At 37.9% G+C, this 17839-nt stretch overlaps 1 long non-coding RNA gene across 3 annotated transcripts in view; it reads left to right on the top strand.

The window, feature by feature from the left end:
• The window catches only part of LOC105378477 (uncharacterized), a 70747-nt gene extending 68092 nt beyond the window's left edge, over window positions 1-2655 (top strand). For all 3 annotated transcript variants that reach the window (XR_946310.2, XR_946309.2, XR_946308.2), the window contains exons 4-5: window positions 1046-1134; window positions 2454-2655. This is a non-coding gene — a long non-coding RNA (uncharacterized LOC105378477). The remainder of the gene's footprint in view (window positions 1-1045; window positions 1135-2453) is intronic.
• The last annotated feature ends 15184 nt before the right edge of the window (window positions 2656-17839 follow it).

Genomic DNA, 17839 nt, shown 5'->3' with positions numbered 1-17839 from the left:
CCAGCTATGAGAGGTGGAGAAAAGGAAAAAGTAGACATGTTGCACTTATCATTCTTTTGTTGTTGTTATGATTAGGAAAACTGAGAATCTCTCCTCTAATTCACTCAATCAGCAAGCATCAGCTTCTGCCTGGGTATCTGCTGTTGCCTCCTAATTGCTCAGCTCAGCTCTTCCAGTCCTCGACTACTCTATTCCTCCTGCACACCAACTGAGTCAGTCTCCTAAAAGCGCAGCTCTGACAATTACCCCCAGGTCTTTATTATCTTCTGCATAAACCTAGGACTCTGTGGCATTCACTCTCAGACTCCAGATTTTTTCTATTCTCACTTCCCAACTCATTATCTTAACAGATATTTAATGAGAACTCTCTTTTTGCAAGTGCCTTGGTGGGCACCAGCAATCAGAGGTATCCAAGATTAACAAGACACCTGTTGCTATAGACCTTGCAGGCCAGTGAGGGAGAGACACAGCTGAACGCTGGACCAGCAATTTAGATCATTGAACCTGGCATGAGTGCTACAAATTCAACAAAGCCAATATGTGATGTTGAGCTACTGGGAACATTAGATAGGTGAATCAGGGAAGGCTCCTTGGAGGAAGTAGCATTTGCGCTGGAATCAGAGGGATGGGAAAGTATCGGTCATAGAAACATCAGTGGGAGAATGGTATCGTTCATAGAAACATCAGTGGGAGAATGGTTCGGTCTTTACTTCCATGCTGTGGTCAAATTGATCCTTTCCCTGTGAGCCAAGAACCATGGCAAAAACATTTATATACACATATGTATATGTGTGTATGTGTTTATACATATATGTATATGTGTGTATATGTGTATAGAGAGTTTATGTCAAACATACATACATACATACATATATATATGTTTGTGTATGCATGTGTATGTGGTGTATCTCCATGGTTCCTGGTCTATAATTGCTGTTGCCCTTGTTATATATTGGAGTGTTTTAGGTCTCAGAAGCAAGGCTCAGAAAACAGAATCCCTCTATTTGACCTCCTGCTTTTTTTTTCTTTCTTTCTTTTCTGCAAGACAAGGCTTAGAAACTAAACATATAAGGTCCTGCCCCATCTCCTGGAAGAAGGAATGCTACACAGAGAGGCTAAGAAGACTCTGGACAGGTAGTGCTGGTTTTCTCCACTCAGTCTTTGAGAATTAGATCATACCCTTTTTGTCTGATCTTATTTCTACATGGTTGTTAACCATGCCTATCCAATGAACTCTTTCTTAAAGGCCCCAGAGGACAGGGTTTGTAGAACTTCTGATAGCTGAACATGGGGAGGTTTCTGGAAGGTGATATGCCCAGGTAGGGGATGGAAGCTCTGCCCTCCTTCTCTCATGCCTTGCCCTAGGATGTAACTCATTTTACCCATTTTCTCCTCTCCTCTCATCTTCTCTTCTTTTTGTAAATTATTTTCCTCTTTCAGACTGCTTTTCCTGACAAAGCTGAAACTATTACTGGGCATAGTTCTGTACTTGTACCTTCAGGCCTTATGAACCTAAGAGAAAACTTTCCCTACCACCTCAAGTGAGAAAAACACCGGGGAAGGACACAGTCCTATATGAAATTATTTGTCAGGCATTGAGGAGAAACCGATTCATGTCAGCCCCATAAACGATTATTTGCCCGGCACTTGGGAGACACCTACATTCCAAGGGAAGGAAAATGGGGCCTTTCTGAGCCAACAAAACTGAGAGTTTCCTTAGCCTTTTATAAACACTCATATCAGAAAACTCCACCTCCTGGTAGAGACATTGTAAAGGTCCATGGCATAACTGCTAAGCCCTGCTCTGCCCCCCAGGGCTAAAGAAGCATCTCAGAGGCTTGGCAAAGTTGTACACACAGTACATCTCAAATCATCTCATTTCTGTAAAGCCATAACATCGGCCAAATTCCATATTACATTTTTGCAAACCCATTTATTTTACACAGACTAGGTGTTTCCATCATATTTCTGTGGCAGATTGATCACAGAGGGCAAACAGGAATGGGTCTGAAGGCCGCTCTAGAGAACTCTGTTTCCAGCATGCCGTGTCACACCTCTATCTGTTAACTTATGGACAATTTCTGTTGCTGCTATCTTCAGCCTCTCAGCCTAGTTTTTATCAGCCTAAGTGTCATTTATTTTATAACTCAAAAGCATGGCCTTCCCTGAGGGGAATGCAGCCCAAGCCCTCCTTCTTATTTTGGGGAGCAAATGATTAACCCTACCCTCCTGCCTTATCCATCCATGCCTCACGTGCAAAAATTACTGGTGGCCTCCATGCAGCCTCAGCATACAGTTTGTTTATAATTATAATAACATGCATCATTTGTACACTTTTTATATTTTTCACTTATTAATGTATGCCTTAAAAATATCTTCTCTCCCCTTCCTACTTTCCTCTTTGAAGGAGCAGTTATTGATTCCTATGTCAGATCTTGAATTTTCTTTTACAGTGCAGAATCTGGAGCTAGAGAAAAATTTAAAAAGCCACAAGGATGTGAATTGCTGAGCCTGAGATAGAAGAGGTAGGGAAAAAAAACATAAGAACCTGCTTGTCTTCTGTTGAGTTAAAACGAACTATTTTTTAAAATAGTGTGAAATAAAGGAAATGAGAGACATATTAAGGATATGCTACAGTGAATGTAGAGACAAGTGTAAGAGGGATTTAGAAAGACATATTTAATATGTTTTTCTGAGTAGTTTTAATGAGAACTCACTTTGATATTTATAAGGAGATAACAAACTTGATGTAAATTAACTTACAATCATTTTGGGTTGTCATACTAAAGTTTCTTAAAATGTGACTTGATGTCAGAACTAGAGCAAAAATCTGCTTAGTTTAAAGTAATTTGTTTAATTGTTTGGAATTTCTCTTGGCATTCTTATTTCTCTCCCCAAATACAGTGTATGTTTCTGAAAAGCAAAGGTTCAGTGTTTCCCATAGTAACTATTCTCTGCCTTAGATATATTATTCACTTAGTAATCCTTTGTTATAATAAGATATTGCATTTTGAATTTTTTCATTACTGTTATTATTTTTATATCACTATTATTGACTAATTCATAATGAACGCTAATTATGTGTCAAGGCCTGTGCTAACATTCAGAAATGCCTCACCTCATTTAATCATCACAGTCTAGGCTCATGAAGGGATTATTGCAATAATTCATGTTAGAGATGACCAGTTTATGAGCTAGTCCATTTGAAACAGGAATACAAAAACAGGGCAGATAAAAAAACATACCTGGAGAGCAAAATCAACAGAACTTGAGTGCATATTACACGTGGACACAGCAGAGAAATAAAGTTGAAGATGACTTAGAAGAAAAGGAAGCCTTGAGAGTTTATGTCAAGTTACCAAGAGAGGTTGAGGATTCTTCTTCAAGGCTCACCTGCTCACCTTAAGTAAGCTGCTGCTGTCTCAACGTAAGATCAGTAAAAGGCTTCTTGAGGGTCTATCGAGTTTTTAAATGACTGATGCTTCTATATAAAGAAGGTGACAAGAACTTCATGGAACTTCTACCACATGCCATACCTTCCACAATATGAACTATCTCATTTAATCTGCAAAAAGCCCATTTTTCACAAAAGGCAATGGAGGCTCCACATTGCTGGCCAGAGTGGTATTTTCTGTAGCTGTAAATGTATTTTCTGTAGCCAAAATAAAATAAATGTCCAGTTATATAAGAATAACTGTATAAATGACAATATATCCATCTAATGGACCATTACACAGCCATTAAAAATGGCAGCCTTGAAAGCAATTTTATGCCATATGAAAATGTTCATGATATAATGTTATAATGATTGAAAAAAATTAGAGTGCCCAATAATACGCATGAGATTTCAGTTTTACAAGAAATATTCACTCTCAGCAGGAAGAATGAAACTGAGCTCAAGTAAGGTGCTCCTGTCCTAGACTGTGCATTCATGCATCATGTGTTCCAAACAAGTAAAACTTACAGTAGTATCTGCCCTTTTGATATTGCCCACTGAGACCTGCCATGCTCATGTGAATCTTCTTTTTCTAGCTGATATTTCTGAAGTCAGAATTTTGTCAGCTCCCAAATCATCTGCCATACTCCTCCTGCCCCTGTGCTTTGCCCTGTCTGGATTTGTTCTTGTTTTTGTCCTTGCCTCATTGTAAACTAGTAGCCTGGCATACATCTATGTATTCAATGGTTTTTACTTTCATTTCTCATATGTCTATAGAAGGTCTATACTGGTGTTATCCCATGGGGATATGGAAGCCATAAATACACTGTACATATGTAATGTGAAATTTTTCAGAATTCACACTAAGATATGTGGATACTTTTTACAACAAAAACAGAAACAAGTAAATTTAATTTTAATGATATATTTCAAACTATATATCCAAAATATTGTCATTTCAACATATAATATTAAAATTATTTGAGACATTTAACATCTTTGTATTTGTAATAAGTTTCAGGTTTTAGTTTGCATTTTACACTTAGAGCACATCTCCATTTGGACTAGCCACATTTTAAACGCCCAAGAGGCAGATGTGGCTGATGGCTGCTGTATAGGACAGCACAAATCTATATCACACACTGTTGCTTTTCACATTTGGTTTTCAAACTTCTCAGCTTTGTATAGTTAAAATTTAGATAAAAGGGTAATCAGCACTCAATCCAAAAGTGAATTGTGAGAAAATTGTTTTCCTTAATGGGAAATTCAGCTACGGAGCCTTGCTAATGGATTAATTGGCAAGGTGTAATATATTTGGCAATAGAGCAGTTTTTCCATTTGTTTAAATAAAGATGGAAATTAAAATTACTGATGTCTTTGAGTTTCAGCAGGCTGAAACTACAGGAACCTTCACTTCTCTGAATCAGGAAAGGCATCAGAACTAAGATTTAGTCAAGAAGAAATGGCAACCACCTAAGCCAATGGAAAGGAGCCAGCAGGGCGAGCTCCCCTTCTCTAGCAATCTCTGCCAATCATTTAGTCATCTGTTTGCACAGTTCTGCAAAATGATTCAATGGATTTAACTTTGACTCCCAGTGATTGTGCAGGCTAGACTCTTTTTTCTTTTTCCCTCTTTGAATTGCTTTTGGGTATGGGAACTGTCAATTTAGTCACAGCAATATAATTACATATAATTATTCTCCTCTATCATGAGTCACCAGTGGAGTTGGTAGGCAACTGGAAATGGAAAGAGGTCAACTAATTTGCTACTGAATATTTTCCTCTGGGCCAGAACTACTTGCTCATGATCCCTACTGTAATCAAATGTGATATACATTCCAAAATTATCACATATTCAACATATTGATCTTTATTCTTCAGTGAACTTTACATCTTTCAGCATCCTTTCTTATACATTATGTAATTTTCTGTCATTTTCAACTTTGGGAGTTGCAATCGGCAATTGTTATCCCATTTTTCAGATGAGAAAAGTGGAGCTTAGAGGGTTTTAAATGATTTATCCTGCTTTTGTCTCTCACTTTGCCAAACTAAGCTTCGCACCACTGCTAGCGTGAGCCACATTATACAAAATTTGACTAAAACATGCCCTGATTAAAATGCTCCCTGCTGATTATGGCCATAATACAAACTCCTTGATGTGACCCATGAGTCCCTTTGAGATCTGGCCCCTTGTCCCTCTCTTCAGCCTAATTTCTCATCTCTGCACACTTGGAATGGTCCCCATACTGGTCTATAACCATAGCTTTTTTACCATAAGTGGGTGTACACTGCTGATGCCCTTTAGGTTTCTGCATTTCGTTGTATGGGCATGACATTTAAAAACATAAAACACAGGCTTATTACAGCATATTGACTTCATTAGTCAGAAGTCATGCATTAGTCAGAAGAAATGCAGAAAATGCATTTCTTACTCAATGTCTCACACATACTCTTCTCCTTTCTTTCCTGCTCTTCACCTCCAGAATCATCTGACTTTCTCCTGAACCTTTCTCAGTTTCTGAGTATGAAATAACCAAATTCAATCACTTGTCATCTTGACCAGTTTTGGACCAATATTTGTATGTAAAACAAAAACATTATTTTAAGTAATTATAGTTGCTTCCAACTATTATTATAATAATTACAATGTTGCTGAGTAGCATGGCACATACCTGTAGTCCCAGTTACTCAGGAGTTTGAGGTGGGAGGATAGCTTGAGCCCAAGAGTTCAAGTTCCAGTCCAGCCTGGGCAGCATAGGGAGACCCTGTCTCTAAAAAAGAATTTTAAAATGATAATGTTCACAATTGTGCTGAGAGTTAGGCACAATTCATGTGTACTGGACCCTGTAAGTCTAGGGTAAGACTCAAGATTGTGGGTCCTGGGGGTCACATTGTTTATATTTGAATGTGTCTCTCCATTTTATATGCTTATTGCATCTTCACAACCCCATGAGCATGTGTTATTTTTTAACAGATGTGATTACTGAGGCTTTGAAATGTTAAGTAACTGGCCAAAAATGTACAGCCAGCAAGGAGAAATGGAAGGATTTATCCCAGATCCTCCTGATTGCAAAGTCCAGGTCCTTTGCTGAAGAGATGACAGTGCTTAGACACCTGCTGGTTCAGATTCCTTTATCCTTGTCACTGTCAACTCTTTTGATGCCTCTTTCTAGCTAAAAGTAAAATGTTGCTGGCTAGAACAATTCATATAGTACTTAGCTAAAAATTATAAGGGATTTTGCAAAGAACATTTTATATGCTGCTAAAGGTCAAGTTTAAATATTTACTCAGTGTCTGAAAGATGATACAGATACTTCTTTATAAATTTAGCTGTCACATACCTAGGGTTTCTAATTTTCAAAATCAAATATTGATTTATTTTGAGTTTTCTAACAATGGTAGTGTCTTAATAGAATTTTCTAATAATTTTAGACTTCATTGAGATTATATCATTGCTGCTGGTTTAAATATTTGTTTTTATATCTCCAGAAACACACAGCATTTCTACACTTCACAGGCAGACGTAATGCTTTAAATGTCCTTCCTTCTTGCTGTTACACGTTAGTTATATTCTGATATTGATGTTCCTTATAAAATAAAACTTTGCCTCTCTAACAAGAGAGTTGTTTTGAGAATTTATATAGTAGGGTGACATTAATCATACCTCAAGGAGAACTTGGCTATGCTTCCATCTCAAACGTGTACAAGAGTCAATTTGTTTAAAAATTATTGAGCACTGTACTCTGCTATTGCTAATTATGTGCTAATTAATGTTCTTTTACTTGCTCATTTATTTTGAATCTTCCTTCATGTCGAGGACGTGAAAGTGAGTATATTTTATTAATGGCTTTTATCCGTTTTTTAAAACAGATTTTAGAACAAAGTTTCATACATTATAGCAGGCCAACATCTACTTTTGATAAAGACACAACATTCCAGGGGATATTATAGAACTAACAGTAATGACTAATTTCATTGAAATCTTCACGACACAATGCATTAGGAATTTCTTAGGTGATATAAATCAATTCTTTATTATTATTTTAGAGACTGGGTCTCACTTTGTCACCCAGGTCTGGAATTCCTAGGATCAAGGGATCATCCTGCCTCAGCCTCCTTAGTAGCTGGGACTACAGGTGCATGTCACCATGCCAGGCTGATTTTTTAATTTTTTGAGGAGACAGGCTCTCGCTATCTTATCCAGGCTGGTCTCAAACTCCCGGACTTAAGAAATCCTTTTGCCTCAGCCTCCCAGTGTGCTGGAATTACACGTGTGAGCCACGGCACTCAGCCTAAATATTTTCTTTAAAGATTGTTTTTGACATTGAGGTTCTGAGAAATGACAAGGAAAGTTTAAAGGACTAAAAATGCTTAGGTAAATTTTGTAAAAACTATTATGTCAGCATATAACTATATGTTAATTTTATTTTGTTTTATCTTAAAACAATGTCATTTATTGGAATAAGAGTCCATTTTCCTTGATGAGAGGACTTAGATTTAGTATTTACATATGTTGAATTGGAGGACGAACTTTATGCAGAGAAGACAATATGTATAAAGGTCCAAAAATTCAAAGGCACATAGCAAGTTGGAAGAAGTAAGGAAGGTCTTTGCTGAGGCTCCAGATGCAAGCAGGGCAGGCGCATGCAGGATCTCTAGGAAAAAGCTAAGGCTTTGGTTCTTTACCCATTGTGTGTTGGAAAAATCACTCTCACTACAGTGGAAGAATACATTTAAAAGGGTAAGAGAGAAAAAAAATTAGCGAAGGCAGATAATGATAACTCAAACTAGGGTATCAGAAAAACTAAGGTATTGTAAGTATCAGTGGAGCATAGATAGTTTTGAGAAAGATTTTACAAACACCCTGAGAAGGTTTATTTATTGGTTGGATGAGTAAGACCAACATTGTGGGAGAGGGAGGAGTTGAGGATGATTGTCAGTTGTTACATTTTCAAAACTGAGTCAAAGGTAGATTTTTTTTTCTTCCCCTGTTTTCTAGCAGAGAGCTCTGGAAAAAAAAAATTAAAAATCAAAAGAACTGTCATAGATTAGGTTGACCAAGAAATCATCTCTGTGGCTGAGATTTGCTTCAGGAAGTTTTCTGGGAAGTCTTCCAAGAAACCACATTTGTAAAGTGAGGAAAAGGAAAGAGAAGGTGAACAGTGTCGTAGTTGTAACAGAGGCCTTGGCCAATCCCACTGGGGAGTCTGAGGCTGGAAAGACTTTTCAAAAATGTCCCATATTGAAGCAAAGGAAGCATATTGGCCTATCATTGATAGGAAATTCCCCTGGAGAAGAGTCTATCTTCATATGAGTCAGTTCCCATCAGTCACCAGCAATTTTTTGGGGAGGGAGGCAACTGCGACCTTTCAGTAGGTGACGTTCCTGGCAGCTAAGACAATGAAAGAATTAATCCTGCAGGGGGTGTAGGCAACATACAACAGCATCTACTAAGTTCTACCCTTGGCACTATCAGATTAATCAGAAACAGTGTCTCTGACATTTTGATGGGACGTTTCCTGGAGAAATTTCAAGAGATATATTATTAAGACCAACTGTAGCCTCTGTGGCTAGAACTGGTTTGAGGGCTGCAGCTGATACTCTAAATCCTTCCCAATGTTCTACTATTGGACATTTAGATTTCTGTTACTTTGTTAACACCTCCACTGGGCTAAATGGCTTAGCTGGTTGTGTGAATCCAAATCCTCCCACTGAGGTTTCAGAGCCCAGATCACCATGAGCTTCTCAGGTCATAGGCACTTGTCAATGTACCATAAAAATTGGATAGGACAGTATGAGAACTGCTGCATGGATACTCTCAGTGATCTTTCCTGTCCTCCTTATGTGACATATATCTAAACACTTCTTCCCTGTCCCCATTGTGTAACAGCAACACTGCATCCTTCTCATGCTTGGGGTTAATTGTCCTTCCAAAACAGATGACTCCTTTGTCTTCTGTTCTCTCAGCACAAGGGATTGGAAAATAGCCAAACCTTAAAGTGTGCTGTGTCTTCTGATAGATGCTTCCCTCTCTTTAAACTGTAATACGTCTTTTTCTGTTCTCCAGCTGGAAGAGATAAGAGCCTCATTTTATACTGCCACAAAGGCCCTCTGACTTTCAAACTTGATCTTAAATTGTCCTTAGACAATCAATAACTTGGTTTTATAAAACATAGCGATGCTGCTTCCAAAACATTACTTAGGTCATTAAAAAGCATCAGAGCCAAGCAGTTTACACAAAGCTACCTGGGAATTATATATTTGCCAAAACTGCATATAGGTGAAACTGGAAATTTATGAAAAAATGTTTTGCTCATCTTGATGGCATAAAACATGATTTATATTTTACAGTTGAGATATTTGGCAAAGTGCTTTCATTGTTCCAACCCATTAATGACAGGAAGTAGATCCCACAGAATAAAATTGCAAATATATTTTTAGCAGAAGGAAAAAACACATTGAAGATTGACCAAGGCTTGAAATTAGGATGACATGGAGTTTTTTCATATGACCTGAGAAACTCATAATATACCTGTCTTCTCTCAAGGAAGGGTTACACGCAGCAGGTTTAATTATGGAGGCTGTATGTCTGATGCCATCTTTTGATAAACTTCAACTCAGAGGGTTTTTTGTTTGTTTGTTTGTTTTTTGCTTGAAACTATGATAAACCTCTTTTCTGGAAATCTCCCTTTCCCCCTCTCTCTCGCGGTTGATTAAAAATGATTATCATCAATTACATAATTATTTGTATTATTTCCTCTTCCCCTCTGCCTCCCTTTCTCTCTCTCTCTCTCTCTCTCTGTCTCTCTCTCTCTTTCTCTTTCTCTTTGTCCCTCTCTGTCATAAACACTCAGACACATTTAAGGTAGACATGACCTAAGTATTAGTAAATATAAGACCAGACCCTTATATTTCAGATTTGTACACTTTACATGGCTTTTACTTGTCATTGTGTAAACTGAAACTAAGATCTTGCGCTTTGTGTTTTTAAAGCCAGGCTGTGTAGCATGATCCACTTTTTGCCAAACCTTCATCTCTAAAAGACTAATGATCCATTTTTATGTAAATGTTGATCCCTTAAAATGAAAATCAGGAGCCTCCAGTTCGTGGTGACCTCTGCATCCCTTGTAATCTTATATCTCTACCAGTGCCTCTGTCATTCATTTCCCAACTTACTCTAAACTGTGGGATCTTGGCCCAGGCGTTTGAGTTCCCTGAATACCAGATTTCTCAACTATGAAAATAAAGAGGTCAAACCTTCCTACATGTACTGCTGTTGAATACTAATGAGAAAATGAAGTCTCTTTTTCTGTGTTTGGGCTTATTTCTTCCATGACTCTCGCTTTCTGGGATAAATGGACAGACATTTTTAATCTTAGAGAGTATTCTTTCCGTCTAGAGTCAGTTTAAGGCAGTGGGGAGGAAGCTGAAGAGAGCTAACGGAAAGAACAGGGACAGGCCAACAAGCGAGCCCAGGTACGGAAAAATGAATCTAAGAACATTAACTACAGTAGTTCTCAAAAAGTGGCTCCCAGGCACCAGATTTACCTTAAGTGATATCTATACCTTGAGATTCCTCAGTTTCACCCAAGATTCATTAAATCAAAACCAATGAAGTTCTATTTACAAGCGTCTCCTTGCTTCTGAAGCTCAGAAAATATTAATAATCGCTAGCCTACTTTGTGCCTACTGTTGTGGGAGTTTTAAAGGGGTTAGAGATAAGAAAACAATTCTGTCTCTAGCTTTAATACATTTTTAATTTGGAAGGAGTCATTGATATTCTTGTTGATCCCCACACCCTTGACTCCCCCATCTGGAGCTGCACTGGGGTGTCATGAACAGAACCAGCCACACTTCTTTTCCAGTCTGTGCCAGTGCTACACAGGCTCCTTAAACCGCTTCAAACAGATTGGGTGTATCTTATAAAGCATCAGAAAAGCAATCACAACCTTGTGTACTCTAAAAGTAGCCTCAGACTAAAGGCTCTTTGTGTGTTCTAAAAGGAGCTTCAGATCATTCAGATCCAGGGGCATCGGGAAATTCGAAAATAAGAAGCTATCCCTGCAAAAAAGCCCCTGGGATATCACCAGCTCCGCAAAACAGGTGTAAAATGAAAACTTTCTCATTGTGGATAATATAATCTAATTAGTTCCAAGCCAATAGCAAGACCGAAGTACCTTATTAATAATTCCCACTTTCATATGTTCTCTAATATCTACAAGATGTGTGTTTCTTTTTCACTCCAGGAGTTTATGCTGACCAGCACTGCGTTACTGATTTTTATTTTTCCATTGAATAAGAATCATGTTATAAAGAAGCCTATGAATGTGCTCTAAACCCTTTTAAGCCAGGCACAAAGCCATTTTTTCAGAACAAAAAAGGGATAGAAAGCATCTCCTTTCTTGATGACTATAATCTTAAACAGAGCAGCTAGGGATCTAGAGCAGTGGCCCCCAACCCTTTTGGCACCACAGGAACCAGTTTCGTGGATAAAAACCCCAGATCACCAGGCATTAGTTAGATTCTCATAAGAAGCGCATACCCCAGATCCCTCACATGCACAGTTCACAAGAGTTTGCACTCCTATGAGAATCTCATGCCACCACTGATCTGAGAGGAGCTCAGGTGGTAATTCCCACTCACCTGCTGCTCACCTCTTGCTGTGCAGCCAGGTTTTAACAGGCCGGGGACCAGGACTGGTTTGTGGCTCAGGGGTTGGGAACCCATGATCTAGAGGACTCCTAAATCGCTCATCTGGGCTAGTTTCACTTTCAAACTGTATACACTTCCACAGATAATATTTCCAACACAAGTATACACACACACAAACACACATGGGTCTATGCCCTTACCTGTGTAAAAGCTGACAAATTATAGTAGAGAATCAAATGTTGTTACTGAACTGATTCCTGTTTCTACAAAATAATAAACTTTACTTTTATTCCTTATCAGCCTATTCTCTTTATTCTTACCAGAAAAAAAATGTCAAACATTTAAACTTTTTTTTTTTTTTTTTTTTTTTTTGAGACAGAGTCTAGTTCTTTTGCCAAGATGGAGTGCAGTGGTGCGATCTCAGCTCACTGCAACCTCCACCTCCCGAGTTCAAGGATTCTCCTGCCTCAGCCTTCCAAGTAGCTGGGATTAGAGGGATGAGCCACCACGCCCGGCTAATTTTGCATTGTTAGTGGAGACAGGGTTTCCCCATGTTGGCCAGGATGGTCTTGATGTCCTGACCTTGTGATCTGCCCACCTCGGCCTCCCAAAGTGCTGGGATTACTGGCGTGAGCCACCACCCCTGGCCTAAACAATCTCTCCTTTTTTTTTTTTTTTGTTTCACATTCACATTTGCTTCTTCCTCAGTGTTTGTCTTTGTGCCTGTTTCTTGCTGTACTTCTGTTCTTCTCTGTCAGCTTCTCAATCTCTTTGTTTCTGGGAAATAATCTGTTTGTCCTCTGTCTCTGAAAGAAATTTGTTAGAAAATTTAATAACCTCTCTCCTTATTCACCTCCACGAACATTTATCTCACCAAAGAATATTATGTGGTTTGTTTATGAAAGATATTTGTGCTATTTTTAGACTTATTTCATATTCTATATCAAATTTAGCCTCTTTGGTCTAGACCTATTTTTTAAATAATCACTAGTATAGTTTTTATAAAAGTCATACATATATAATGAATATCTGTGTTCATGTGTGTCTGTGTGTGCATGTATGTATTTGTGTGTGAGCCCACTAAAAAAAGCAAAGGTTTTCCACACAGCTTCTTCCCACATGCAGTCTCACCCTTAGATGCAAGCACTATTAATCATTTCTGATTCTTGTACCTTGGTGATTAATTCATAATTCTGTAAAATATGCTTCTGTCTCCATACATTGATTTATCTACTCAGGAGCTGTCTTTATTTTCCATATTTCCCTCCCTGTTAGCTCTCTGTTTTTCTGTCTTGATATTGAATCTAAAGTCAGAAACTTAATGAAAAGGAAATTAAGATCCCCAGTGTCTCCCACTCCAGTGCCCTGGTCACCTTTTAGATTAATGTCCACCAGAAGATAACATTGCTTCAAAACCAAAGGTCATCAAGTGGTCTCAGGGATGGGGGCCAATGGAAAGGTAGAGTTCCATGGGTCACTTCTTATTAAGTTATTTTCTTGCAGTATAAGACAGGGAAGAGCACTCAGAATCCCCTGCATGACCAGCAGTCTCAGCCAAAATTAAATGATCTTTGAGATGCTATGAAAATTGGTTTGACAATAACATGTCTTTCCTTTTTCCTACCCTCTGCCTGCATCAACACACATAATCAGATTTGGAATTTTACAACTGTCAGAATAAATGAGGTGTAGCATAAATCCCATTGTTTCATCCTACTACACGTGGGTTTGGTTTTCTAACCCATTTATTCAAAAATATAGCATTGTTACCTTGCCTCCTTAGAGCAGTGGATAAGGCTTTACAATAAATCAATGTCCAAATTTCTCTGGAATCAGCCTGTGGTTAGTTGGAAACTCTAGGAATAAAGAGAGATTTGGTATAAGAAACAGTGAAAGGACTGTTTAAGTTGCACAGAAAAAGACTCTGGAGAGAAGGTAACAGAAGAATGCATGCTAGCATTCCATGCCTAGCATGGAAAAGCCAGGAAAATGCCCTGTCAACAGAAGAGATCTAATAGGAAGGAAAATACTACTAATTTGAATGTAAACAAAATCTTTCATTAAGCATGAAATTTAACCTGTAAGTCTCCTACCCAGAGGATTAGTTAACAAAGATAACTTCATCAGATATTAATAAGAATAATGAAAATAGAAGGAGACCAAGGAGAAAGAGGAGGAGGAAGACAGCAACAATGACATCTTAAAGAAGAAGAACTGAGTAGTAAATTAGAGTAAAATTTTCCTGTTTATAAAGTACCATAATGACATTGTATTTCTTACCCTCAAATTTTTGGAAACTGTCAGTAGACAACAATTGCAGACTTCAAAATAGAAGGCACATGAAGTAATACGGTTGGCCATCCCTGTGAATGATTTCCACATTCATGGATTCAATCAACCTTAGATTTAAAATATTCAGAAAAAAATAAAAGTAATACAACAATAAAAAACGCAAAAACAGTATAGCAATTATATACATAACACTTGCATTATATTAGGTATTATAAGTAATCTAGAATTGATTTAAGGTATATAGGAGAATGTGTATAGGTTATATGCAAATACTATGCCATTTTGTATATGGAACTTGAGCACGTCCGATTTTGTTATTTATGGGGATTCCTAGAGTCAATTCCCCACTGATACCAAGGAACGACTATACTATCTTTTTTTGGCGGGGGTGGGGGGGGCGGTGGTCATGAGGGCATATTAAGCTTTCCAAAATACTTTGTTCAATAATTTAAGTCTTGATGTAACTACATGATATATTTGGGTAGGAGGTTTATATGAGAAAAAAGATACCCACAGAATGGAAATGACTTGTACCGAGCCTAAACTTGATTTTCTTTAAGTCTAAGCCTTCTTTACTAGATGTCAAGATTCAAAATATGTAGCTACAATAAACAAGTTTCCTTCAAGCTTGTTAATGTACACCGTCTCATTGAAAATGTCTAGCATGAAGGTTCAGCTGCTACTTTGGCCCAACTGACATTTTTTGGAAATGTAATTTGGCTTAGTAATAAATCATAAGTCATGAAATCAGTCAGAGCTGGATCAATCTACCCTAACACACATGAATTATATTAGTAAAATTATTTTAACCTCTCCGGGCTTAATTTCTTCTAATGTAATGTAGTGAAATAGGAAAGCCTAGCTGTGAACAGCATGGATTTTTTTGTCTGCCCTCTTTAATATTTCTCCAGATGATTTGGACATGGCCAACAATAAATTAACTTAGGTTAACCATAGAAACCAGAATCGACCAATCAGAAAAATTCTTCCACCAAACTACCTATGGTATTAAAAAATGGACATGTGACTCCAGGCAAGTTAATTTTCTTTTTAGACACTTCTATGCTAGAGAAAGAAGGAGTACATATATCTTATAGCTGTAGATGTCTATTATCCCTGCCACATACAAGAGTCATATTTTTGAAAGAGAATGAGGACAGATCAAAAAGGAGACAGAGAGAGAGAGCGCGCATAAGAGTGAGACAAGTGTTCTGAGTATAATAGCTTGAATATTGCCTTCCCAGTATCTTGATCTCTCATTATTTGCTAACTGCTCTCTCTCTCTCTGCTTTTTCTCTATTAAGCTACATTGACTTGGAATTTCCTTATTGAAATTGGAAGAGTCCTGACTAATATAATAACTCATGAAATCTCAGGGTTACAATGACAATTACACAAATCAATACATGTAAAGTTTTAATACATTGCCCTGCACACAGTAGTCAAGCAGTAAATGTTTGCTTTGATGAAGGTGATAATGATGATGAACATGATGATGACACCTTCTCTTTCTTTTATTATTCTTAGAGGTTTTACTGTTGAACATCATGGAAACAGTTTATGCTCACTGAATTCTGGCTAAATCTTGTGCTTCCTTTCTCTGGAAGACACAGAGAATTAAAGAATTAGGACTGGGAGAGACTGTTGAATGACATGAATTAAGAATTGTTTTATAGTCCTTTGGGTATATACCCAGTAATGGGATGGCTGGGTCAAATGGTATTTCTAGTTCTAGATCCCTGAGGAATCGCCACACTGACTTCCACAATGGTTGAACTAGTTTACAGTCCCACCAACAGTGTAAAAGTGTTCCTATTTCTCCACATCCTCTCCAGCACCTGTTGTTTCCTGACTTTTTAATGATCGCCATTCTAACTGGTGTGAGATGGTATCTCATTGTGGTTTTGATTTGCATTTCTCTGATGGCCAGTGATGGCGAGCATTTTTTCATGTGTCTTTTGGCTGCATAAATGTCTTCTTTTGAGAAGTGTCTGTTCATGTCCTTTGCCCACTTTTTGATGGGGTTGTTTGTTTTTTTCTTGTAAATTTGTTTGAGTTCATTGTAGATTCTGGATATTAGCCCTTTGTCAGATGAGTAGGTTGTGAAAATTTTCTCCCATTCTGTAGGTTGCCTGTTCACTCTGATGGTAGTTTCTTTTGCTGTGCAGAAGCTCTTTAGTTTAATTAGATCCCATTTGTCAATTTTGGCTTTTGTTGCCATTGCTTTTGGTGTTTTAGACATGAGGTCCTTGCCCATGCCTATGTCCTGAATGGTAATGCCTAGGTTGTCTTGTAGGGTTTTTATGGTTTTAGGTCTAACGTTTATGTCTTTAATCCATCTTGAATTAATTTTTGTATAAGGTGTAAGGAAGGGATCCAGTTTCAGCTTTCTACATATGGCTAGCCAGTTTTCCCAGCACCATTTATTAAATAGGGAATCCTTTTCCCATTGCTTGTATATACCCAGCCATCCCATTACTGGGTATATACCCAAAGGACTATAAGTCATGCTGCTATAAAGACACATGCACACGTATGATTATTGTGGCATTATTCACAATAGCAAAGACTTGGAACCAACCCAAATGTCCAACAATGATAGACTGGATGAAGAAAATGTGGCACATATACACCATGGAATACTATGCAGCCATAAAAAATGATGGGTTCATGTCCTTTGTAGGGACATGGATGAAATTGGAAATCATCATTCTCAGTAAACTATCGCAAGAACAAAAAACCAAACACTGCATATTCTCACTCATAGGTGGGAATTGAACAATGAGAACACATGGACACAGGAAGGGGAACATCACACTCTGGGGACTGTTGTGGGGTGGGGGGAGGGGGGAGGGATAGCATTGGGAGATATACCTAACGCTAGATGACGAGTTAGTGGGTGCAGCACACCAGCATGGCACATGTATACATATGTAACTAACCAGCACATTGTGCACATGTACCCTAAAATTTAAAGTATAATAATAATAAAGAAAGAAAGAAAGAAAGAATTGTTTTCTGTTGTCAGAGCTAACCACCCTCCACTTTATACCACTTTTATTTTCATTCATTCTTATCATTATTAACTCAGATTGAAACCTCAACTCAGGCTCAGACTTGAAAAAGTAGTTCAGTTTCTGCTCAATGTGTTCCTATTTGAGAAACAAATGCATTTGTTAACTTGTGGACGCTGTGATTGTGTGGTGCTGATTGCAACTAACTGGCTGTCACTTAGGTGACTTTAAAGCCCTGGACCATGCTGTTCACTCTCAAGTATGCTTTATGACTGTCTTGAGAAAGGAGACTCCAAAGGTAGTTCAGAGTGGAGGATATTTGGCAATTATTTTTTAAGTCATACGGTTAATTACTGTACATCTTACAATAATGTAGGGATTAGAAAATCTGTATTAGAAGAGTCTGAAGCAATTTTGAAGAAATCCGTAATAATTTTTGTAGGCT

The sequence above is a fragment of the Homo sapiens genome, chromosome 10, assembly GCF_000001405.40.
Source record: "Homo sapiens chromosome 10, GRCh38.p14 Primary Assembly".
Taxonomy (NCBI): Eukaryota; Metazoa; Chordata; class Mammalia; order Primates; family Hominidae; genus Homo; species Homo sapiens.
Note: the sequence above shows the minus strand (reverse complement) of the source record. Positions and strands in the feature narration are given on the sequence as shown.